Consider the following 26,366-nt stretch of genomic DNA (forward strand, 5'->3'; position numbering starts at 1 on the left):
GGTAGTTAAGAAAAAGGGAGAAGATCATATTCTTTGGAACCAGGTTGGTTGCAAAAAAAGACAAGACTTTTTTAGGGCCAATTTGTAGACTTGGTTAGATGCTACACAATTATTTTGTGAATATAGTGAGTGATTTTTAGTCTGTTTTTGCAGATGTGGTTCAGGGTTCATCGTGTGTCTATTTAGACGAGAATCCAGTGTTATAATCATGACAAACTAAACCTCCTGCTTTTTCAAATTAGCAGCTACTTTTACAGATTTTGATATGAGTGCTACAAAAGAGATGATGGGTTTTTTGTGTAATAGGAGAATGCTCTGATAATTTTGTATAAAGAGCAGTTAAGCATGTTATACATTGTGTTAGGTTTCTTGCTTGCAAGACGGAAATACGACTCAAACTGGTTTGAGAAAAATAACTGAATATTGTTTTTTGTGACTAAGAGTTTCAAGGTTTCACAGTTACATCTAATGACTTAAATTATATTATGAAAACATGGTCTTTCTGTCTTAGTCTCCTGGGCTTTACTTTTCCTCTGTTAATTTCATTCTCAGGCACATTATCTTTCTGTGTAGGGGCAACATCTCTAAGCTTACATGGTATTTAGTATTTACTACTTCAGAAGGGGGAGAGAGTCCTTTTTTCTTTTTTTTTTAAATTGGAAAATTTTAGCAAAAGTCTTAAGGATGGCTCTAACTCTTCTGTCTTGGGGTGAATTTCCATCTCTGAACAAATCCCCTTGGCTGGGGTATGGGATCGGGAGCTTCCCCCTGTGGCTGGACAGGGTAATCCTCATCTGAATGATGTGGAATAAATTTCTTATAAGTAGAGGGATTCTGTTATAAGAATGGAGTACTGTGTAGGCAGAAACAGTAGGGTCTATTTCACATAGGAATAAGCTTATTCCTCTTTTCCTAGAAAGCCAAGTGTGTGTTTTAAAGGTTCCCACTTGCTGAGTAGTATTGACTCAGTTTTGTGTGAAAACGTAAAAAAAAAAGTTGATGCAGGATAAATATGAAGTCTCATTTTTCAATTTCAATTATTTTAGAAGTTGTTCTTACATCAAAGATCTATGAGTTATAAGTGAGTAGAGCATAAGGTGAGTCAACAGTATAATGTGGAAGCTAGAACAATTAAGGATGTATATAATAGAAGTTCAGTTTCCAAATCGGACCAGGCAGCAGTTTTTGGAAAACTTTGTTCTGTTCTGGGTACCATATGTTAAATGTGCCTGCAGATTGCATGAACTTCGTAAATTTTAAATAACTTGAGGGTATGTTTAGTTGAGAAGAGGAATCTAAGAGTATAGGAAAGGAAAATATCCTTGGTGCCAGAATTTTAAAAAGGATATTAAAACCTTTTTAATGAAAAATGATAAAAGGATATTAAAACCAGATATAAGTTGTATGGACTAGTGTTTTAATGTATAAATGGATATAGAGATTCCTGCACAAATCTAGGACTTTTAAAGGAGTGCTAAAAACTGAATGTAACATATCTGGAGTACTTGGCAGAAACTGAACTGTAGTAATACTTAAGACTAGTTGTGACTCACAGCTTGTCCATAGACAAGCAATTCCTACTGAAATTGAGGATGCAATAAAAAGTGTGTGTATTGTATATTTCAAAATAGATAGAAGAGAGTAATTCAAATGTTCAAGGGGATTGGGTTTAGAGATGGAAATTTACCCCAAGACAGAAGAGTTAGAGCCGTCCCTAGCACAAAGACAAATATTTAAGGTGATGGATATCCCAGTTACATGGATTTGGTCTTGAACTACATGAACATATTAAATTAGCACATGTACCCTAAATACGTACATTTATTGTGTTTCAATGAAGAAGTGAAAAAGGATTTAATTATGGTTTTAGGATATCACTAAGAAAATATTCCAGCATGTCATGTCTTTTTAAGTGTATTTATCTGTAATTGCTTTATCAATGTAAATACATACTGGCTTTCTATGTTAAAAAGCAAAAAATTCTTGGCCAAAAAAAAAAAAAAAAAGCATGCCACTGAGGGAAAACCAGAAGACATAATAGTCTGGAAAATTAGCAACCTACCTAATTGAATTAAAAGAAAAACTTGAATGAGATTTTAAAGTATATTTTAAAAATAATTTGAAAGATAAAAGAATAAAAGCCACAAAGAGCAGAGCATTATGAAACAGGCTGAGGTATCGTTGATAAGAATCCATTAGGATGTGTAGAAATGAGAAAATAGGGCTAGGCGTGGTGGTTCACGCCTGTAATCCCAGCACTTTGGGAGGCCAAGGTGGTGGATCACCTGAGGTCAGGAGTTTGAGACCAGCCTCGCCAACATGGTGAAACCTTGTCTCTATTAAAAATACAAAAATTAGCTGGGCATGGTGGTGTGCACCTGTAATCCCAGCTACTTGGGAGGCTGAGGCATGAGAATCACTTGAACCTGGGAGGCAGAGGTTGCAGTGAGCTGAGATCATGCCATTGCACTCCAGCCTGCATGATAGAGCAAGAGTTGGTCTAAAAATAAAAAATAAAAAATAAAAAATGAGAAAACAGTCATAAGAAAAAAAACAAACTCTGGCCAGGTGCAGTGGTTCATGCTTGTAATCACAGCACTTTGGGAGTCCCACATGGGAGAATCACCTGAGCCCAGGAGTCTCTCCCAGCCTGGGCAACATAGCAAGACTGTCTCAACAAGCAAACTCAAGGTGTGAGACTGGACCCAGCTAAAAAGAGAATATGTGAAATTACCAGAGTATGTTAACAGATAAATAAATGGAAATTATGGGGGAGGTTAAGGGACAGAAGATAGAATGAAAAGTCCAATATGAGCCTTGTAGGAGTTCCAGAGTGAAGACTGGAAGAGCAGCAACATTCAAAGAAATGGTAGCTGAGAATTTCTCAGAGTTGATGAAAAATGTAATTCCTCAGATTGCAGAAGCACTTTGAGTCCAAAGCAGATAAATAAAAGTAGATCTATACCTAAGGTCATGCCATTGGAAATCTACAGAATACTAAGGAAATTTGAAAGCAACCAGCAGGACAAATTACCTATAAACAGCAAACTAATAGCCTTCTCATCAGTAATTATACAGGTCCAAAATTATGTATATACAGATGCTAACACATGGTAAATGTTCAATGAGTGATAAAATATTAACTTTGAGAACAGATATGATGATGGCTATCTTTTTTTGGAAAAAGGAAATGTGATCTTTCAAAAGGCAAAACATCAGAGAATCTTGGGGTTGGAGAAGACTGAAAAATGACTCAGTTCATTTCTATAGATATAAATATTTTGCTTAACCAGGGCCAGTGTGTGTTCATCCCAAGAGATCTTGTCTAATATTCAAACAGGCAGTTAAGGAGGCTGTCCTCTTCCTATCAAGGTATGTGTTCACATGGAAATTAGGCAGCTATTTAACAGGTCTGAGGGATGTTTCTGTATTGAGACTGACCCAGTAGCCTCTGCGATTACTTGCAATAACATCTCTGGATGTTAGTAATATGAGAAACTCATTTTGCGTGTAATACTTCATATTTTTCAAAACAATCCTGTGAAGGAGTTAAGGCAGGTATTTGAATTCTCATTTTAGGTAAAACCTTAGGAAGCAACTCTTTTAAATTGGGTTTTATAACTAAAACTGGCTCATGATGATGTGCTTTAAAACTTTCAGAGTGTGCTTCATTTCTCACTTCTGAATCATGGAGGTTTGGACATGGCAAAGAAAACCAGGGATTAGACTTGGATTGGTATGAGGTAAAGGAAATGTGTAATCAGGAAATAAATATTCTTCCTGCTGCTTGTTAGTAAGGGAGAAGCATGTGCTCCCAATTAAAACTTAAGAGCCTTCTGTTTTCTAGATTGTTTTTCATTTATGGACAAAGCTATTCCTTCAATTCTAAGGAATTGGCTAGGCAGATGAATAATTGGCTCTGTTGATTAAAGTTGCATTTCTAGTATTTTTAATGGTATTACTGAGAATGTTATCATTAGTTCATACTTTATTCATTATTTACCTTGGATAGAGTTTTTGCCATGTTAAATTCAGCCTGAAATGGTAAAGCTTTTAGAAACGTTGTAAAATGAGAGCATTAAAAGTTGTGGATCCAGGCCAGGCATGGTGGCTCACACCTGTAATCCCAGCACTTTGGGAGGACGAGGCAGACGGATTGCCTGAGCTCAGAAGTTCGAGACCAGCCTGGCCAACATGGCGAAACCCTGTATCTACTAAAAATGCAAAAAATTAGTCAGACATCGTGGCGCATGTCTGTAATCCCAGCTACTCAGGAGGCCAAGGCAAGAGAATTGCTTGAACCCGGGAGACAGAAGTTGCAGTGAGTGGAGATCAGGCCACTACACTCCAGCTTGTGTGACAGAGCAAGAGTCTGTCTTTAAAAACAAAACAAAACAAAATTGTGGATCCAGTTGAGGGATGAGAAGTTCAAGGAAACAACCTGAAAATTAATATTTTGTTATTGCTTCACTGAACAAAATCATGTAACTGAAGTTAATCTTTCATAAGCTCTTGAAATTATGAATCTTGTTTAGAGAAAAACTATAGTTTCATGAGCTTTTTAAAGCAGGATATTGTTATTTTAGTTATATAGTTATCTTTTTTTGGTAACCTAAAGCAAACAGTGAAAAATTGATTTTTTTATTTTTATTTTTAGACAGGGCCTGGCTCTGTTGCCCAGGCTGGAGTGCAGTGGCACAACCTCAGCTCACTGCAACCTCCACCTCCTGGGCTCAAGTGATTCTCCTGCCTCAGCCTCCTGAGTAGCTGGGATTACAGGTGCCTGCCACCATGCCCAGCTAATTTTTGTATTTTTAGTAGAGATGGGGTTTTGCCATGTTGTCCAGGCTGGTCTCAAACTCCTGGCCTCAAGTGATCTGCCTGCCTTGACCTCCCAAAGTGCTGGGATTACAGGAGTGAGCCACTGCGCCCAGCCAAATGGTTTTACATTTCTTTATCTATAAAGTGAGGGAATTAGACAAGTTGATTTCTAAACGATTTTTCAATATTGAAATTAAATGAGTTTAACATGATAAATTATTGTGTCATGCTGTGGGTTGATTTAGTGTTTTTAAAAGTTAAATGTTTGAAACTAATATTTTAATATATAAATGTTTTTAAAGATAGCTCTATCATTTAAAAATTATGTTTAATATCAGTAGGTTTAATATAACAAATTTATGAAAACAGAAAACATGGCCAATTTTAAATCTTTATTAACTGAAACATAAGAGAATGTACTATTTCAAGCTAAAGGTGAACTAAGTATTTAGGAAGAGAGTTTGTTTTTTCAATCTCATGTAAAACAAAAAGTATGTGAGACAAATCTCAATCAGTTTAGAAGTTTATTGTGCCACGATTGAAGACACACCCAGGAGACAGATCTGTGCCTTTCTCCACAGATGATTTTGAGGGCTTCAATATTTAAAGGGGCAAAGCAGGCTGGAGGGGAAATAGGAAGTGTAGGGTCACATTACTGAATCCACAGGTTGCAAGATAAAACCACATAGGGGAATAGTGAATTATGTATTCGTCTTATGCTCAGTAAATCTGTGCTGTACACAAGATAAGGTGATAGAGTGGAGATATTTGACCTTTATCTGTAGCTATCTGCTTAGGAACTAAAGGAAAGGCAGTTGCTTGCATGACTCAGCTTTCAGCTTAAATTTTTCCATTTGGCCTAGTGAATTGGAGTCCCGAGTTTCTATTTTCCTTTCACATTTCTCCCCACTTTTCTTTTTAAAATCTTTCAGATAAAGCATTTTAGAAGAAAATGACTCTCTGGTCTTGGGTTTTGTCTGATCTTTTGTGGCTAGGACAGTTTATTCCTAGACGAATAGGTCTCATGTTGTTAGGAAGCTAATTTTTTGGCAGGTTGTGAAGTCTCATGTCCTACAAAGAGAACATAGGGGGAGGAAGAAAAAAAAAAAAAAGAACAATCCTGGAAAACTGACAAAGGCCATATTACTCTGAAGTCCATTCATCAGTAGGCAGGTATGAAAATGGTTTATGTATATAAATAGGTTGCTATTGTTTTCTTCTGAAGTTTAAGTTGTCTAGCTTCAGTTCACAGGGCTTTAAGAAAAGCAAAGCTTAATTTTTAGTGATTTCAAATCAGGAAAAATGGAAAAAAAGAAGGAAAAGAAATAAGGAAAAGAAATTGAAAACATTATTTTGGAGAGTCATAGCCAGCAAAAATTTTAGAATTCAGTCCAAATTGTAGAAAATAATAAAAATGAAAACATTAGGCAAGGCTGGAGTCTAATAACAGGTATACTATAATTTAATTTGAACAGGATTTTTCTCTCTCCAATAACCCAATTTTACTTAAAATCATAGAAGGACCAACTTACTTGTAAAATACATTTTAGACCTATTACACTTGGCTTGATTATTTGCATAAAGTACAGCAAGAATAATCATTTGTTATACAGGCTCTCTCCCTTTTTTTTTTTAAATTGGCTTTGCTGGAAACTTTTTTTTATAAGGAATCTAAGATTTAGACTTTCTTAAAAGCCTTGAGCCCAGCCGAGGATTTATCTGTGCCTTCAAATACCTGTGTGAATTGGGTGAATTCTTCTCTTTTTGAGGTCCCAAGAAAACTTGGGGTTCCTGGGCCTGTCACCAAGTGACATTCTTTACTTACCACAGATCAGGACCCTGTAAAGAACAAGGTATGAGGCCAGTTTTTCCAAGGGGCTCCAGTTATGCACTTGTATAAAAGAAAATACATTCTTATTGAAGTTATGCAAATAACTGTATTTTCATAAATTAAGAATTCTCACAAATTAGTTACCAAATTTTGTCAAGATCAGGTTGAGTGAAAGGAATTATGTTTTAAATTTTTCTCATAAGAGTATATGTTACTGAATTGTTAAAAGCTGCAAATAGCCTAAAAGAAGAAAAAGTTTTCTTGACTTTGAAAAACAAAAAGAATCAGCAAATGTGTTAAACAAAAAGTCATAAAAGATTATTTCCAGTCTGCTACTAGTTCATCCCATGCAGTTAACTCCTACTGTGCTCAATATTGGATCAGCAAACCTCATGAATACATCAGCTCTTCATGAGAGTGCTGGAAGTTTTCCTCTTTATTCCAATGGCACCATCTCTAAATTTATCCATAAATCTATATCTAAGAGTACTCCTTAGAGTTCTATAGCTGATTATAAACTGCCTTATAAAAGGATCAAAGTAAAACAACAATTGTGGATGACAAAAGTCTTAGAACAGCCATGGTTAAAGACACAACTGACAAGGAAATTTAGTTACTTCTTTGGCATACAATAGTTTTACATAATCATAATTACTACTGATAACATACACTAAAACATCAGAATCACAGGAATCTCTTATGATTTTGGCACATATACTAATAACACATTTATATAAATGCAGTCCAAAGAAGGCTAAACAAAATTTCATATTTGACAATACTTCCTGTATGAATTTATTATACCAAACAAGCCAAATGTGTCTCTTGGACTTAAGGGTGCTTAATACCAAAAAAATTAATGAAGACCGAATTTAGAATTTGATTTTGGAAAGTTTGTCAAATATAAAGAGTTTAAAATACTTGATATTGCAAAATAGGATCACAGGTCATTGTAAAATAAGTCATTCATTTAGCCAAAGTGATAAGATTTTGTTTAAAAGGCAAAAATCTTTATTCTTTGAGAGGGGAGACTTAATTCCTCAAACAATACGCCAAAATAAAGACAGCATAAGGCCAATTAAACCTGTCTCTCAAATCTTATAAACCTATTAAATTTTAATCATCTCGACCATAAGATGGAATTTCCATAAACCTTTTTATAGTCTTTTATAATTTTTTTTTTTGGTTAAAAAGTGGGTTAATGCTCCAAGAAAACCTTGTTAATCTGACATGGGGCCCAGATGCTGGTCTTGCATTAGTGTACCTTTGGTACTAATGTTTAATTTATAGAGAAACTTTGAACTAATTTTCTCTCTCAAAATCAGCCCTTACCATCTTATGCACCCACCTCTTTCAGGATAGTCCCTGGGCCTAGAGTGGTTGAATAGTTTTAATTTCTGGCCCTGTGCCTCATGAATGCAGTTCATGATGTAATAACCTTAATTTAAAACCTTAAATCACCTTAAATTTAAAAATGTTTTAATCTCAGTTTTCCTAAGGCAAACTCCCCTCTCCCGTCGTACAAAACAAACAACGCACCACCTTCTGCAGTGTGATTGCTTTTCAATATGGGGAGTACATTTAGATAACTTGCAAGCTAGGCTGGGGGTGGTGGTTCATGCCTGTAATCCCAGCACTTTGGGAGGCTGAGGCGGGTGGATCACCTGAGGTCAGGAGTTCGAGACCAGTCTGGCCAACATGGCAAAACCCCACCCCTACTAAAAATACAAAAATTAGCCAAGCATGGTGGTGCGCACCTGTAATCCCAGTTATCAGGAGGCTGAGGCAGGAGAATTGCTTGATCCTGGGAGGCAGAGGTTGAAGTAAGCCAAGTCACACCACTGCATTCTAGCCTGGGCAACAGAGCAAGACTATGTCTCAAAAAAAACCCAAAAACCTTAAATTACCTTAAATTAAAAAATGTTTTTATCTCAGTTTTCCTAAGGCAAACAAAAAACAACAACAACAAAAACCCCACCACCTCCTGCAGTGTGATTGCTTTTCAATGTGGGGAGTACATTTAGACAACCCACAAGTCAAAACTAATGAGAAGGATACTTAAATAGAAGGAATATGTCCTGAGTTGTAAGTGAAGGCTTTCGGTTTCATAAAATAATTTAGATATATTAAGCCAAGAGCATAGAATGTTATATTGAAAGAAAACATTTCCTTCAGACCTTTAAGATAAAACATTTTTAGCATCAGGTCACAACAGCAATTAAAACCTGAGGAAAAAAGAGGAGCTGGAGCAACTTATTATCTCAGGTCTTCTCCAAGGGGAGAGAAAGCTGAAAACAGAGAGACACAATAAAAGTTAAACTTTTGGGTCAAACAAAAAATTTTGTATATTAAAGGAACAACTCAGATGAAAACCAGATAGTGAAATTGACATCTCAAAATATAGAGAGAAAGTCGGTGGGCTAGAAGGCAATTAAAAATTGATGCTGGAGTGCTGTGGCTCACACCTGTAATCCCAGCACTTTGGGAGGCCAAGGAGGGCAGATCACGAGGTCAAGAGATAGAGAGCATCCTGGCCAACATGGTGAAACCCTATCTCTACTAAAAAGACAAAAATTAGCTGGGCATGGTGGCATGCCTCTGTAGTCCCAGCTACTAGGGAGGCTGAGGCAGGAGAATTGCTTGAACCCGGGAGGCGGAGGTTGCAGTGAGCTGAGATCGCACCACTGCACTCCAGCCTGGCGACAGAGCGAGACTCAGACTCAAAAAAAAAAAAAAAAAAAAAAATCGATGCCAAGTCAAACATAAAATTATAGAAATCTACCATAGGATTATATAAAGAGACCAATTTTATTTAGATTGCTAGTTTTAAATTTAGTCTCTATCTAGATTTCTGAGCTCTGGGCAGAGCCCACACTGAAACCCTGGTTCTCCAAAGAGAAAGATATCATGGGCCTATTCCGAAGAGACTAGGCCATGTAGTGCTTTTACAGTGCATTTTGTTACAAAGACTTTTCTGTAAGTCTCTAAACTATGTCCTTTCTTAAACACCCAAGAGCAGCCCCTGTGGTAATAACTATTTTAGTAAAAAAAACAAAAAAAAAAAAAACAAAGGTAACAATACAAAAGCAGGCAGTTTAAAAATCTGAGAAACTTGTCTGTTTACACTCTTGGGGTATCATAAGGAAAAACAGAGCTTCTCCCTAAAAAGGAGTCTGGCATCTTCTTTGTTTTCATTAAGGAATCCTAGGCTGTTAGAAATTGTTTTAGGTCCTTCATGCAGCAGAAGGTGGTAAGAGGAAGGAAAGATAGGCAGAAGTAAATGGAGAAGACAGAATTCAGTCTACTGAGAAGAAATAAAACCTTTTTCTCAAAAAAGATTCTAGGAGAGAAAGAAAGCATAAAGGCCTTTTAAATACACACACACACATCTTGATAGCAGCTTTTAAGGTGACTTTCAACCATCAAACTGTTTAAAACATCCTTTTATATCTCATTACCATATTTTAGCTGGGACAAATTGCTTATATTTAAAAAGTAACATAAATATGAAAATATAAAGCCAGAAAGGACTTGATTTAAGGACCAATCCCAGCTGTCATGGTGAAAAAAGGGCAAAAGAATGAACCACACTGTGGGGCGATGGCCGAAGCTCTTTCGGTTTCGCTTGGCTAGCAAAAGGTGGCCTTGTTACATAAATAAAGTCCCTGTGTAGTCAATCTTTTTTCTTTTGCTGGCTGTTTTTTTTTTTCTTTTTCTTTTTTTTCCCCAGCTGTGGGAATCTAACCAATTCAGAGGCCTTACTCCTCCTAATTTGGAATGTTCCTTTGCATTTGATCAAGTCAGGTAGAGTTGGTCAAACCCAATGGGAAAAAGACTGAAAAAACAAAAACAAAAAAACCAGAAACAAATCAACAACAACAACAAGAACAATTAAACAACACAAATGATGCTTGCACAATTTATATGACTACTGAGCTCTTAATGGTAAGGAGAAATTAAGACTAGCTGGTTGTTAATCTTAACCTTTAGTTATTAAGGAGAATTTCTAAGACAAACCCTAGTTCAGCTAACTAGGAATGGGGTCCAGGCTAAAGACTGTTCTCTAGTGTCCTAGAAGCAGGAAAAAAACTCAAACTTGCCTTCCCTATTGGAAGCAAGCTGAAACTCCAGAAAGATACTGCCTGCTCTCCATCGTCAGGGAAGCAGGAAAACTCACCTTTCTTGTTGGAAGCGAGTAAAACTCCAGAAAAGGAGTTGTACAGCAAAATAAACCTTAGATCTCAATCAAATTTTGGGAGATCAGGGATTCTCTGGAAGGGAGAGCTCACAGGCCTCAGCAAATCATCCTATTTGAGCAATAAAGACAGCCCAAGCTGGTACCAAGCATCGATAGGAAATTTGTTAAAGGTCAGGGGGACCTCCACTGAGCCCCTTCCTGGTCACAAATTTGTAAACCAAAAAGTTCCTGAGACAAGTCTCAACCAATGCAGAAGTTTGTTTTGCCAAGGTTGAGGACATGCCCAGGAGACAGCTTTGTACCTTTCTGCAAAGATGATTTTGAGGGCTTCAGTATTTAAAGGGGAAAAGCAGGCTGGAGGGGAAATTGGGAGAGTATGGTCACGTTACTGAATCCACATGTTACAAGAAAAAAGGAGCAGGTAGGGGAATAGTCAATTATGCATTTGTCTCGTGCTCAGTAATTCTGCGCTGTACACAAGATAAGGTGAACATAGAGTGGAGATATTTGACCTTTATCTGTAGCTACTGCTTAGGAACAAAAGGAAAAGCAGTTGCTTGTATGACTCTGCTTTCAGCTTCAGTTTTTCCTTTAGGATAGTGAATTGGAGTCCAGACTTTTTATTTTCCTTTCACACTCATAAGAGATGTCTAGTAACAAAAATGTGTTCTAGTTTATTATTTGAAATACTATTTATTATTTATAATTAGGTACAATAACAAGATAAGAATTGGACACTCTTTACTAATTGAACAGCTTTTAGACATATATCTGCTATGGCCACAGTTTTTTTTTTTTTTTTTTTTTTTGGTAAGAGATATAACTTTTGTTTTTTACAGTAGGCCTTCTGTGGGTCCTGATACAATTCCCAAACAATGGTGGAAATTATAAAGAAACAGATGATATGACTATTACCTGTAAATCATGACCAGAAATATAATACAGACCTACTTCATTTTATTACACTTCATTGTGCCTCACAGATACTGTGGTTTCTTGTTTGTTTGTTTTAACACATTGAAGGTTTGTGGCAACTCTGTTGAGCAAGTCTATCAGCACCATTTTCCCAACAGTTTGTTCTTGCTTTGTGTCTCTGTGTGACACTTTGGTAACTCTCATAATATTTTAGACTTTGCATTATTATTGTATCTGTTATGGTTATCTATGATCAGTCATCTTTGATGCTACTATTGTTATTTTGGTGTACCACAAACCACATCTATAGAAAATAGCTAACTGAATTGACAGATGTATGTGTTCTGACTACTTTCCCCATCTCTCTCCCTCTCCTTGAGCCTCCCTACTTCCTAAGATACAATCATTAAAATTAGGCCTATGACTAACCCTACAGTGACCTCTACGTGTTCAGGTGATAGGAAAAGTCCTATGTCTCTCACTTCAAATCAAAAGCTAGAAATGATTGTTTCATGAGGAAGGCATGTTGAAACTAGGCCTCTTGTGCCAAACAGCCAAGTTGTGAATGCAAAGGAGAAGTTCTTGAAGGAAAGTATAGGTGCTACTTCATTGAACACATGAATGATAAGAAAGTGAAATGGCCTTATTGTTGATATGGAGAAAATTTTAGTGGTCTGGATAGAAGATGAAACCAGCCACAGCATTCTCTTAAGCCAACATCTAATCCAGAGCAAAGCCCTCACTCTCTTCAAGTCTATGAAGGATGAGAGAGGTGAGGAAGCTGCAGGAGAAAAGTTTGATGCTAGCAGAGGTTGGTTCATGAGGTTTAGATAAAGAAGTCATCTCCCTAAAAATGCAAGATGAATCAGCAGGTGCTGATGTAGAAGCTGCAGCAAGTTATCCAGAACGTCTAGCTAAGCTCATTGATGAAGGTGGCTACACTAAACAGCAGATTTTCAGTGTAGACAAAAACAGCCTTCTGTTGCAAGAAGAAGCCATCTAGGACTTTGATAGCTAGAGAGAAGTCAATGCCTGACTTCAAAGCTTCAAAGGGCAGACTGACTCTCTTGTTAGAGGTTAATGCAACTGGTCACTTTAAGCTGAAGCCATTTGCAATTCCAAAAATCCTAGGGTCCTTAAGAATTATGTTAAATCTGCTCTGCCTGTGCTCCATAAATGGAACAACAAAGTGTGGATGTCAGCACGTCTGTATACAGCATGGTTTACTCAATATTTTAAGCCCACGACCTACTGCTCAGAAAAAGGCTCCTTTTAAAATTACTTCTCATTGACAATGCACCTGGTTATTAAGGAGCTCTGATGGAGATGTGCAAGGAAATTCATGTTTTCATGCCTGTGAACACAACACCCATTCTGCAGCCCATGGATCAAAGGGTAATTTCGACTTTCAAGTCTTATTTTTTTAATTTTTTTTTAAGTTCAATGTGGTTTTATTTAAACGTGTACAGCTGAAGGAGGGGTCTGATCTTTTGTTAGATGAAACCAATTTTCACAGTATATATTTGGCCATTTTAGCTTTGTAGTGAATAATAACAGAAAATGAAGTTTCTGTTCAAGATCCTCACTCCGGCACACTCAGCCAGGTGCCTGGCAAGATGACACATTTCCTGGTCTGAAGCTCACAGCCAGTCCTCTCACCTAAGTGGAACACCAATTCTCCAGACATACATACATGTGCACGCGCACACTCACACACACACACACATCTTATTTTCACTGCTCTACACAGCGCCCTGAGAATCCTTAATTTTAAAGTTGGGAAAAACGTGAAAGGATTCCTTAACTCATTGTCTGTGACAAATCCAACTACCTTTTAACTCTTAACAATTGCAAGTATAAAATACTTGAAATTTATGAGATGCTCCATTTAATGGAACAACTCAAATGCTAAAAAATTAGGTCAAGTAACATGCTTTAATATTTCTAAATGTTACTTAAAACTTATTAAGACAAGATAGCAGCACATTCTTGGTATTATAAACTCCTACTGACGACTGCTACTTGATGGCCAAAACATCTAAAAAAAGAAGAAACCATACTGGTATACAACAATGTCTGCAGGGAATGTCATGTTGTACATTTTGTTAACTGAAATTAAACCTGACAAACCCAAAGATCTACAAAACCAACACCCATGTCATTTTAAATGATGAGGTAGGTTGTTTCCTATGCAGTAAAGTGAAGATAACAAAAAAATCCACACAACTTCCAAATCCTCTTTAAAAAAAAAAGTTCAGGTTATACTCACTTGCACAAACAAGACATTCATAAACTATAAGGTGGAGAGGTCATACTCAGGCAGGTTCTGTACTTGATGTGTTACTTGGAGATTCAATCATCAGTCTTGGGTCAATCAACTCTCTCCAAAATACAGTGATCTTGCTCTCCTGTGTCACAGCGTAGTCCACTATCTCTGTTCCATTTTCATTGTGATAAACCAAATCAAATTTCCCAGGTTCTCTCAAGGCGGGTAAGGATGAAACAATTTCTATATCTACTTGCTGGGTCTCTGGATTGGGGCTTAATATTCTTCTGGATGTTAGTTCTAAAAGCTTAAATGCAATCTTTTCTTCAACTTGAGGGGCAGCTGCTAACAGTGGTAACAGACTATAGTCCTTCTTACGTGTCTCTACCGGATTCTGGATAATAGTAGATGAATTTGTTACCAGGTCATTTAATTGCTGTTGCCTCTGGTTCTCAGTGCTTCTATTTACAACACAGGAAACAGGATGCCCTTGTCCTCGACCTCTCCCCCGCATGCCCCGTCCCCTAGCTCCCTTTCAAGAAAAAAGGTTATCTCCTCTACCCCATCTTCTTCCTAAACTGGTGGGGAGAGACACACTGAGAGGAGGACCAGGAGCCTGTCCGCCACCATTTGAGCAAGAACGCCTCCATCCAGCAGCACCTACAGTCTGTCATGACAACTCTGGGCCCGGACAACCTCTTCTTGCAAAAAGGCCTACTGTCTTTAAGAAACCCGCAGCACACTCCAGGGTGCTTGATGACATCAAGCATTGGTCATCTGACTCTGAACTAGAGTCTGAAATAGGAAGATGTTGTTCCAGAGGTCTTGCCCTTGCTGGGGGTAAGGCTAAAGCCAGATTTTATACCCAGTTTGTCTGCAGTTGTATTTTTGGTAGAGGGTCCTTCCTTTGATAACTCAGTCGGTAATTTCTCTGAGGAATTTCTGGCCTCCAAAGTGACTGTGCTGGGACCATCACTGATAGCTTCATCACAAGACTCAGACTCCGAGGAGGAACTGGGACTCTCTTTTGAGCAAACGCTTACACTACGTTTCCTTTTGGCTTTAACAAGGCTGTTTCTAGCAGAACCTTTTGGAGAACTACATCTCTGATTGGCCCAGTCTTTTACTGCCTGTACTTCAGGAGACTTGGGATTCTTGGCCTTTTTTTTTATATTCACATTTCTCCTTTTTCTTTGGTGATTTTCTTTTGGTCTCTTTGTTATCATCACCTGCTGTGCCACAGTGGGCTTTCTTTTTTCTTTTTTTTCTTTTTTTTTGGCTGGCAGTCTGATCTGTGACAGCTTTTGGTTCCAGATCAAAGACCTTCTCATTATTGTTATTGTTTTCTTGCCTCTTCCAATGCTTCTTTGAATATTTGTAATCTGGTTCAGTTTCTTCATCCTCCTCTAACTGAAATGCCCGCTTCTTTGCTTTTCTAAGTGATAGATTAGTGTCACCATTACTGATGACCATAGAATTCTCAGCAACTCGTCTCTCTTCTACTTTAACTCTGAGGCGGTCGTTCTCTCTCACCAGGCGCACGCTCTCCGCCCGGGGCAGGAGCCCCGGCTTCAGGTAGGGGCCTAGGAGGGCCCCAGAAATGAAGCCGAAGCATTGGCGGATGAGACTAACGAGATCTGTGACGACTCGTATCTGTTCAAGTGGAACAGAAGCCAGAAGGCCCTACAGTGCCGGGTAGCTGGCGGCGGGTAATCAAATTGAAGCCTTGGCCTAACTGTCTCGGAGGCTGCCATCTTGCTTGGTGCTCAACGGAAGCCGACTTTCAAGCCTTATTGTTTAAGGAATACATTTTATAAGACTATAGCTACCATAGATAGTATTTCATCTGATGGATTTGGGAAAAGTAAAGTGAAAACCTCAAAAGGATTCACCCTTCTAGATGCCATTCAGAGTATTTGTGATTCATGGGAGGAGATTAAAGTATCAACATTAACTGGACTTTGTAAGGAGTGGATTCCATGTTTAAGGAGTCCATTCCATGGAATCCATGGAATGATTTTGAGGGGTCTAAGACATCAGGGGAAGAGGTCACCGCATATGTGGTGGAAGTAGCAAGAGAACTAGAATCAGAAGTGGAGCCTGACAATGTGACTAAAGTGCTGCTGCAATCTCATGATAAAACTTGAACAAATGAGGAATTGCTTCTATGGATCAGTAAAAAAAGTGTGTTTTTGAGATGGAATTTACTCCTGGTGAAGATGCTGTGAACATTGTTGAAATAACACAATACTTCAGATATTCCATACACTTAGTAGATAAAGCTGCCGCAGAGTTCGAGAGGATTGAGTCCAATTTTGAAAGAAGTTCTGTGGGGAAAAAGCTATAAAACATCATGGCATACTACAGAGAAAATGTCCACAAAAAGAAGGAATGGATGCGGCAGATTTCACTGTTGTCTCATTTAAGAAATTGCCAGAGCCACCCAGCCTTCATCAACCACCACTGCCATCAGTCAGCAGCTATCAACATGGAGGTGATATCCTCCACCAGGAAAAAGATTATGACTCGCTGAAGGCTCAGATTATTATTAGCATTTTTTAGCAATATTTTAAAAGTTAAGGTCTGTACATTTTTTAGACATAATGCTATTGTACACCTAATACATTTCAGTATAAACATAACTTTTATGTGCATTGTGAAACCAAAAAGTTTGTGTGACTTGCTATATTGCATTATTCTCTTTATTGTAGTGGTCTGGAACTGAACCTGCAATATCTCCAAGGTAGGGCTGTACCATAATGCCGAGTTCCCCCATCTGCTAATCATTTATTGCCTTATGGAAAAACAATTGTTTTCATCAGAAATTAGAATTTAACTTTGGTCAATATACAAAGCTGTTGATAAAGTAAGGCATACCCATGTAGAGTATTTATTGACAGCTATCCAAACAATCTTACATTTTTTCCTTCATGTTTTTCTTTTCAAAGAGGCAGTTTTATTTTGCTGCATTGTTACTGTAATTTCAAACTTTATAGTTTAAACCTGTTTTTTCATGTCTTTCCATATCCCTTTAAGTCTAAATTTTATGTCCTTACCTGATTTCCCTCTGAAAAATGTTTTCCAGAGATGTAGTGATATTGTGATATTAATGCTAACCCAAATGTTAATATGCCATTCATTTGAGAAATATATTTGAGAGTCTTCTGTGTGCTAGTGTGTCTGGAATTGGTGGGTTCTTGGTCTTGCTGACTTCAAGAATGAAGCCGCAGACCCTCGTGGTGAGTGTTACAATTCTTAAAGATGGCGTGTCCGGAGTTTGTTCCTTCTGATGTTCGGACGTGTCCAAAGCTTCTTCCTTCTGGTGGGTTCCTGGTCTCGCTGGCTTCAGGAGTGAAGCTGCAGACCTTCGCAGTGAGTGTTACAGCTCTTAAAGGCGGCGGGTCTGGAGTTGTTCATTCCTTCCATCTGGAGTTGTTCGTCCCTCCCGGTGGGTTCGTGGTCTCACTTACTTCAAGAGTGAAGCTGCAGACCTTCCTGGTGAGTGTTACAGCTCATAAAGGTGGCACGGGCCCAAAGAGTGAGCAGCAGCAAGATTTATTGTGAAGAGCGAACGAACAAAGCTTCCACAGTGTGGAAGGGGACCCGAGCAGGTTGCTGCTGCTGGCCTGTACATCTGTGCGGAAAGAAATGGGCTTTCATTTTCAGGAAAAGAAACATGGCCAGTGTGATATGGAGTAGAGTGAGCACAGGAGAGCCTGAGAGATCAGGTCAAGAAGTAGACAGGGCAGGTCATGCCTATCTTTTTTTTTTTTTTCCCCAGTATCTGTGTGAGAGATAGGTTATGCCTATCTTGAAGGCCATGTTAGGAAGTTAGTATTTTATTCTAAGAACAACAAGATGCCAGTGGAATATTTTTATATGACCTAACAACATATAAAATGAAAAGCACTTTTATTTGTGTGTGGAGAATGGACTGAAGGGGAGAAAGATGGAAAGTAAAGAAATAAACTGAAAGACTATTGAAATAGTACAGCTGAGAGACAGTGGTGGCAAGGAGAGATGGAGAAGGAAGAGAAGTGGATGACCTTAGGATATATTTTAAAGTTATAGCCAAGGGGTTGCTGGTGGATTAGATGTAGAGAGTGAGAGAAAAAAGGAATCAAGAGTGACTCTTGGTTTTTGATTTGAGCAATTGGATGAACAATAATGCCATTTATGGAAATGGGAAAAACTGGGGAGAAAAGTTCTGGAGGGGGTGAAAATCAAGAATAGAGAATTCTTTTGAAGAATACAGAATAGAGATTAAGTTGGAGAGGCCCATTTAGTCATCCAAGTGGAGATACTAAGAAGGAAGTAAACTGTGAGTCTGGAGCTTATGGAGGAGGGCACTTTAGGGCTGGGGAAACTAATCTGGGAGTCATCAGCTTACAGGTAACCATGCCAGTGGATGAAATTATGTGGGGAGTGAATGTAGAGTTGTGAAAATTCTCACAGTTTACATCAAGTACGTATGGAAGCTGCTTAACACTTTCAATTTAGAAACCTTTGTGATACATCTGGGAAGGTAAAAAAAAAAAAAAAAAAGTGTCCCCGAAATGCCTGAAAACCATGCCATCCCTTTCTGATAAATTTAAGCCTTGCAGTGCTTCTTCCAAGCCAAACATCCTCTGGCATGGTTTCCTCCTCCATGGGTCTAAAAGTTTTATGACAAAATAGAGAAATATATTTTTAATTAAGGGGATTAACCTCAGAGTGAGTGAGAACCTTCCTGCTTAGATTTGATTAATGTTTCTGGCATTATTCTAGTAAGAGAAATTTTATCAAAGGGAATGAGTGTCAGTCTGTCTCGGACTATGTTTTACTTTTTTTCCTGTCACTTAGCTTACTTGACTGATGCTGCCGCTTAGTTTTAGGAGACCTTTGCATTAATCTGTTTCTCAGTAGGCTGTGCTATAGGTATGTCTTACAAACAGGCAGCATAATTTGGCTACTTACAAAGATAATCCTCTCAGGTTACTTTTCTGGATTTGAGTGTGACTTAGGAAACCTTGCATGAAATGCTATTTATCTTCCTTCAAAGGTGAGGATTTACTGGGAATGGATTTTTCTTGTGCTAGAACACCCTTCCTAGATTACCTTCAGTTCCAACTATTTAAAACAGCATTTCAGAAGATTTAAAATATTTTAATATTTGAAAATATTTAAAATTCTGTCTGGAATGCTCTAGTAAGCCAGAAAAATTCTAGTGACAATGTTGGAAAATTCTAGTGACAATGTTAACATTTATCCCATGAGGCTAAATGTGACCTGTGTGTTTCAAAATATTCAGGTGCAGCAGAGCTTGGAAATATATAAATTAAAATGATTTCTTCCTGTATGTTTCAACTCCAAAGCTAGTTTTGATGCTTTAATTTCACATATATTCTAACAGAGTACATGATATTTAGTCACATGTTGAATTTGTACAATGCATTATGCATTAGCTTTTAAAAAGTTTTCATACCTATTTGTGGTGGCTTTATATCCAGTGATTAGGCAGGACAGCTGTTAAAATTCCTGCCACAGACAGAACTAGTAATGTGCCTGGGCTGGAATCCAGAGTATATTTCTATAAGATAAGGACCCTTAAGCAAACAACAAACATAACTACAATACCAGTGTCCACCCTTTAAAATCCCAATAATTTCCTACCATCATCAAATGTCACCTAACATCCAGTAACTTAATAACATAAAGATCCATTCATATTTTTGCAATTGTCTTTAAAAATTTTTTTTTGTTTGTTTGTTTGAATCAGTATCTAAGTAAGGTCCAAATAGTATCCTCAGAGTGTCTGTTTTACTTTTGTCTTTAAATCCATGCAAAAAAATCTTAAAGTCTAACTTATATGTTTTAGTAAGATTATAGTATAACTGTTATATATTATCAAAGAATCTACTATGTCAAAAGAGAATTTATTTTGGAGAAAAAATCAGGTAACTATGTAGATCTGAAAAAGTTTGATCTGTCAACTTTATAACCTGTGGATGATACGATGCGAAAATAGTCTGTTGATTTTATTAATTTAGTGGAAAACATGATCAATTCAGTCAGCTCAGGTATTAACAAATTATAAAATTAATTAGCCTTTAAAAAATGTCTTCTATTTGTTGGGTCCACAAATATAGCCAAGATAATATTTATAAAGGACCACAATTATATATTGACCACAATTATGTGTAAGACCACTTCAGGCCAGGTGTGGTGGTTCACGCCTGTAACCCCAGCATTTTGGGAGGCCAAGGTGGGCGGATCAAGAGGTTAGGAGATTGATACCATCCTGGCCAACATGTTGAAAGCCCGTCTGTACTAAAAATAAAAAAATTAGCTGGGTGTGGTGGCGCGTGCCTGTAATCCCAGCTACTCTGGAGGCTGAGGAACGAGAATCACTTGAACCCGGGAGGTGGAGGTTGCAGTGAGCTGAGATCGTGCCACTGTAGTCTAGCCTGGCGACAGAGTGAGACTGTCTCAAAAAAAAATAAAAAACTAAAACTAAAACCACTTGAAAATCTTTAATAATGTCATCTCAGTTGAGTAGTTCTTAAGCTTTCAGAAATAATTACAACTATAGTGCAGTGCCTATTCTAATTTTAGAGCTATCTTGTCTAACAATTGGCTCATCACATACCAACTATGTATTCTTTTTTTTTTTTTTTTTGAGACGGAGTCTCGCTCTGTCGCCAGGCTGGTGGCAGTGCCACGATCTTGGCTCACTGCAACCTCTGCCTCCCGGGTTCAACCGATTCTCCTGCCTCAGCCTCCCGAGTAGCTGGGGCTACAGGCTTGTGCCACCATGCCCAGCTAATTTTTCTATTTTTAGTAGAGATGGGGGTTTCACCATGTTGACCAGGATGGTCTCGATCTCTTGACCTTGTGATCCGCCCGCCTCAGCCTCCCAAAGTGCTGAGATTACAGGCATGAGCCACTGCACCTGGCCAATTATGTATTATTAAAAATTAGAATAAAATTATACGCATAGATTAGGTTATATAGTACACACACACACTTTGTATGTTAGATGTGTTAGGCATAAATTCATACACCTACATGATGATTATTCTGTTGCTTTGTGATTCCATAGATTTGGTGATACTGATAAATATACCAAGGGCAGTTAATGCACTTCAAGAAATACAGCAAGAATACTGGTACATGGAGAATATGGATGGAGCTTTAATATCTGTAAATTTTACAAACTAAGTGGAAAAATAGAATTATCTACCTAATAGTAAGGTAATCGTAGTCTTTAGGATCAGCAGGATAAAAGTCATGTAATGTAGGAGTTCTATCTTCTGGGTTTAAATTCTACCCAAACTCTTACTGGTTTTACAACTTAGACACAATTGTTAATTTTTCTATGCCTATTTCCTTATATGTGAAATGAAATGATATCTACTCCAGGGTTGCTGTGAGAATTAAATGACAAAATACTTGTTTGTCAAATGCTCAAAACAGTGCTTTGCACACAGTAAATATTTAATACATATAAGTTATGGTATTTCTTAGTCTATTTATCAACATTGTTTCTCAGAGAATTTACTTAAGTGATTTTTTTTTTTTTTTTGCAGTGGTGCGATCTCGGCTCACTGCAACCTCCCCCTGCTGGGTTCAAGCTTCTCCTGCCTCATCCTCCTGAGTAGCTGGGATTACAGTTGCCCGCCACCACGCCCGACTAATTTTTGTACTTTTAGTAGAGATGAGGTTTTGCCATGTTGGCCAGGCTGGCCTCCAACTCCTGACCTCAGGTGATCCGCCTGCCTCGGCCTCCCAAAGTGCTGGGATTATAGGCTGAGCCACCACGCCCGGCCTTAAGTGTGTATTTTTTAGCTAAAGGCTAGTCTTTTAAATATATAGTATTATTTTAGCCATCTTCAGTAGAAATATTTCCAAAATGTATTAAATGCTCCATTAATTTATGCCAATATTCTGAACACAGTGTAATTTTCATATTGATTCAAGTTCATTACAAATACTTACCATTGCCCTGTAGTTCAGGTTTGTTATAGGGGTGTTGAAGTCTGTTTCAAACTCCAAAATGGCCTAAGACTGATTATGCTCTTGCTTTCACATGTGTAAGCTTGCATGCCTTTCACAGTCACCCCCTTCCTTTCCCTTTCTAACCCACTGTAGACTGAGAAACCTGATGAACAGGTTTATTAGAATTATGCTGAAAATAAGACAAAGTGAGCTAGCAGGAATTGGAAATGGCTCTTCTGAGTGTGACACCTTTACCCATTAGTCAGGGACTAATCCAGCTCCACGAGTCTTTTATACTTATTTCTGGATCCTTGGCTACACTTCAAATAGCTGAGGTTGTTGGATATAATGTCCACATTAAATAAGTATTAATCTAATGACAATAGTGCTTTAAACTGAAATATGGTAGAGTCAATTACAGTGCCATTTTGCAGCTTTACTGAGGTGTGATTGGCAAAACTTGCATATATTTAAGGTACACAATGTGTTTTCATATATATATATACTGAAATGATTACAATACTCAAGCTAATTAAAATATCCATCACTTCACATAGTTACCATTTTTGGTGTGGTGAGAACACCTGAGATCTACTCTCTTAGCAAATTTCAAATATACATTATTAACAGTAGTCACCATACTGTATATTAAATCTCCAGAATTTTATAATTGAAAGTTTGTACCCTTTGACCAGTATCTCCCCTTTTCCCCCACACAGTGACATATTTTGAAAAATCTATTCAGAACTTTCCTACAAACAACTAGGTCTTAAGCTCTCAGTAGATCTTTGAGCCTCTTTCAAGTTACTGTGATTCAGTAATGCATGAAAGGATAGAAAGCAATACTCTGTCCTCCTGCCTTGGTCACTGCTATGGTTTGAATGTGTCCCCTCCAAAATTCACAGTTTAGTCCCCAATACAACAGAGTTGGAAAGTGGGGTCTTATGGGAGAAGTTTATTTAGGTCATGAGGGCTTCACCCTCATGAATGTATTATTGCCCTTATAAAAAGTGCTTACAAAAGTAGATTAGCTCTCTTTCTGCCATGTGAGATTACACTGTTGCTTCGGAGGATGTTGCATTCAAGGTGCCATCTTGGAGGTGGAGATAGGGCCCTTACCTGACACCAAACCTGTTGGTGTCTTTATCTTGGGCCTCCCAGCCTCCAGAACTGTGAGAAATCAATTATTAATATTCTTTCTAAATTACCCAGTTTCAGATCTTCTGTAATAGCACAAAATGGACTACAACAGTTGACTTTAGACTCAGCATTATGAAACAAGTCAGTCCATGAACATTCATTTGTTTGTAACTTGGATCAGTAAATTACAAATTATTTTTTAAAATAGGAAATAACAAAATAATATAATGAATGCCCCATTACAGATAAAATTACCTTCATGCCCATCCACACTGATCCTTGTCCTCATGCCTGCCTCATAGGTAAGCACTCTTGTGAAGAGGGTGTGAATGTTTTTTGTTTTTCATTATGAGAGAGTATATATTGAAGGATTCATTCAGAGCTAAAAGGCAAATAAACTGATAACTGACAATATACAAGCTTAAGGAGGAAAATGAATGACAAAATTTCTAGTGATCAAGAGTGAGTGAATTGCATTTTAAAAACAGTTGGTAAGTAGGCTGGGTGCAGTAGCTCATGCGTGTAATGCCAGCACTTTGGGAGGCCAAGGTGGGAGGATCGCATGAGGTCAGGAGTTCAAGACCAGCCTGGCCAACATGATGAAACCCCAACTCTACTAAAAAAAATACAAAAATTAGCTGGGCTTGGTGGCATAGGCCTGTAGTCCCAGCTACTTGGTAGGCCCAGGAGATGGAAGGTGCAGTGAGCTGAGATCGCACCACTGCACTCCAGCCTGGGTGACAGAGTGAGACTCTGTCCAAAAAAAAAAAAAAAAAAAAAAGATGGTAAGTACTAAATTACTATAGCATTTAGATTCCATTATACATATTTTAAGAAGTCATGTATGTAATTTACTTTAAACTGCTGATGTTTATATCTGCTAAGATTATGACCAATGTTACATGTTTAACTTAAAAATATGCAAAGGGGTACATTTTTAGGGGCTAGGAAAACAAGTTAGAAAACATGGGATTAGAGAATACATCTAAAAGTGAAAAATCTGGGTTACAGGGCACAGGCAACTTCAACTTTACAAGATATTGCAAGTTTGCTTTCCAAAATGGATATATCAGTTCAAGTTCCACCTGTGTTTCCTCTTCCTTGCCAACACATGGTATATCTTGCCCTTTTAAAAAAATCTTTCAGAAAGGATGATTCAAGTATCCTGAAAACTTACTCATAATACATCATCCGTTTCTTTCCACAACCAGCAAACCAAATTAATTAGTATACTGTACCAGGGGTGATACCCTGCAAGGACACCTAATGAGTCCTGGGGTGGCTGGAGCCTGGGTTGGTTGCCTTCTGATGCTTTCAGGCTCTTCTGAGCAGTGGGAGTGGAGCTGATTCTGAAAGTAGGCCCTGGACAGAGAGCAAACTCAGATACTCACTATTCCTAGCCAGATGAGTCACTGTCCATCACAGAAAAGGGTGGGGGGGGGGGGGGGGGGGGGCGTCTACAAAGCTGTGAAAGAAATACGTTCCAGGTGTCCAAAGAGCAGGAAGGAAGCCCAAGTGTGAGGCCCCCAGGTGTGGCTAGTTGGATTTGAAAGGGTTGGGAGCTGGAGGTGGGAGGAGGGCTCCCTGCAGCCTCTAATTGCCTTCACATATATATAAAGTTGGTGGCTGTTTACTCTTCAGTGGTGTCTCACCTAGCAGTAGGATTATGTAAGGGAGATTACAAATTAGAGCATCATGATTTTAAAATAATTGTAATAAACATCAATTTGAATTTGAACTTAACTCACAACATTATTTCCCAAAGAAGGAAGCGTTAAATTTCTTAGTTTCAACTGCATAAATTAACGAATGGTTATTTTTAAAAAAGACCTAAAAATTATTACCTGTTTGTGGGGTGTTTCTCATTGGTGACAGTATTAAAACATTTTAATCAAATGTCAATTAAATCAATTAAAACATCTGGCAAGATTTTATTTGAAAGTTCCATACAAATTCAGTATTTTTCCTCAAATCTTCTACATTTTTTCATCAATTATATAATTTAAAAAAAGTAATTTTTTTCTCTAATTCTTTCTGGTTTATACCAGTATGCTGTACAATATTTTCTATGTGTGCTACAACATGACAAAGGTTGGGAAACATTGATACAATGTGGTATGGTCCCTGGGTATTATTCACATCTGCTGTGTTACTCCATTAGCACTGTGTTATGTTACTGGCTTCATAAGGATCCAATATGACTCATGCTCTAAGTCCCAAGCAAGTTTCCCCATCTTTGTGTTCAATTTCTGCATCTTTGTGGTGGGGAAATGGAAAGTAATTTTAGATAGATATGTAAATTTCATATAGTTTAATAAGCTATGTTTTGAAAATATTTAATACCTTGGTTTAAAGATGATCTTGTGTATCTGTGAGCTACTGAGCTAACAGCAATGGAAAATTTCAATGAAGAATCGGAGTTTTAGCTAGCCAAGACCAATCCTTCATTTTAGAGATGAGGAAACCAAAGCTGAAAGAGGAGTCTGTGCTCAAGTAGAGCCAGAGCTTAGACTAGAAAACAGATGTCAAGCCTCCCAAATTTAGAGCTTTACTACAATAACCTTAACTTGCATGCTATTCATATTAGTAGACTTTCCTTTTTCGTACATTTTGGGTACGTCTTAAATATATACTTAAACATGTTGATTCATTCAAAGGACTCAGATGTGTCCAGGAAAGTAACGAAGTGGTAAGTAAAAAGTATAAGGACAATTATTTGTGAACACCAGATTATTCCAAGATAAAGCAGTGCCTGGAAGAGTCAATGTCTGGAATGATAAGGAAGGGAAGATGGAAGGAAGAAAAGAAGTCCTTTTGTTTCCTATGAATAAGAGCTGTGAGTCTCAACAACCAAGAACAGAGATCAGAATACCAAAATAAATAAAGGAATATAGGGGTTTATGAAGAATTTAATATTGGCATATCTAAGTATTTTTGCATTTGGTATAGGAATCTTCTTTTAAAAAAGCAGCCCCTCTAGTCTATAAATTAAGTTTTACCATATTGATAATGTAATGTATTCTAGGTGCATAATATACTGAGATTTTGTGCTAAGAAATCCAGTGTTTGTTTGCTTTTAAGCTTGTATTTTGTCAAAGTGAATTTCTGTAAAAAAATCTTCCAAACTATTCAGCTAAGACTTTTTATAATGTATCTCAAATTTAAGCTTTGCTGCACCAGAATACAACCAGAATACTAACACATTATTATACACAATA

At 37.7% G+C, this 26,366-nt stretch overlaps 1 protein-coding gene and 1 pseudogene across 4 annotated transcripts in view; one reads left to right on the forward strand and one right to left on the reverse strand.

Annotated features, from left to right (window-relative positions):
- Positions 1-17,205, forward strand: part of MIA2 (MIA SH3 domain ER export factor 2) — a 154,608-nt gene extending 137,403 nt beyond the window's left edge. For 3 of the 4 annotated variants that reach the window (NM_001354145.2, NM_001354154.2, NM_001354155.2), the window contains one exon: positions 15,568-17,205. In NM_001354145.2, coding sequence (NP_001341074.1) covers positions 15,568-15,635 — 68 coding nt within the window. In that variant the 3' untranslated portion in view covers positions 15,636-17,205. The remainder of the gene's footprint in view (positions 1-15,567) is intronic. The other variant, NM_001354148.1, reaches the window with a different exon arrangement.
- On the reverse strand, positions 13,200-15,811 carry COILP1 (coilin pseudogene 1; annotated as a pseudogene).

This window comes from Homo sapiens, chromosome 14, assembly GCF_000001405.40.
Source record: "Homo sapiens chromosome 14, GRCh38.p14 Primary Assembly".
NCBI lineage: Eukaryota > Metazoa > Chordata > Mammalia > Primates > Hominidae > Homo > Homo sapiens.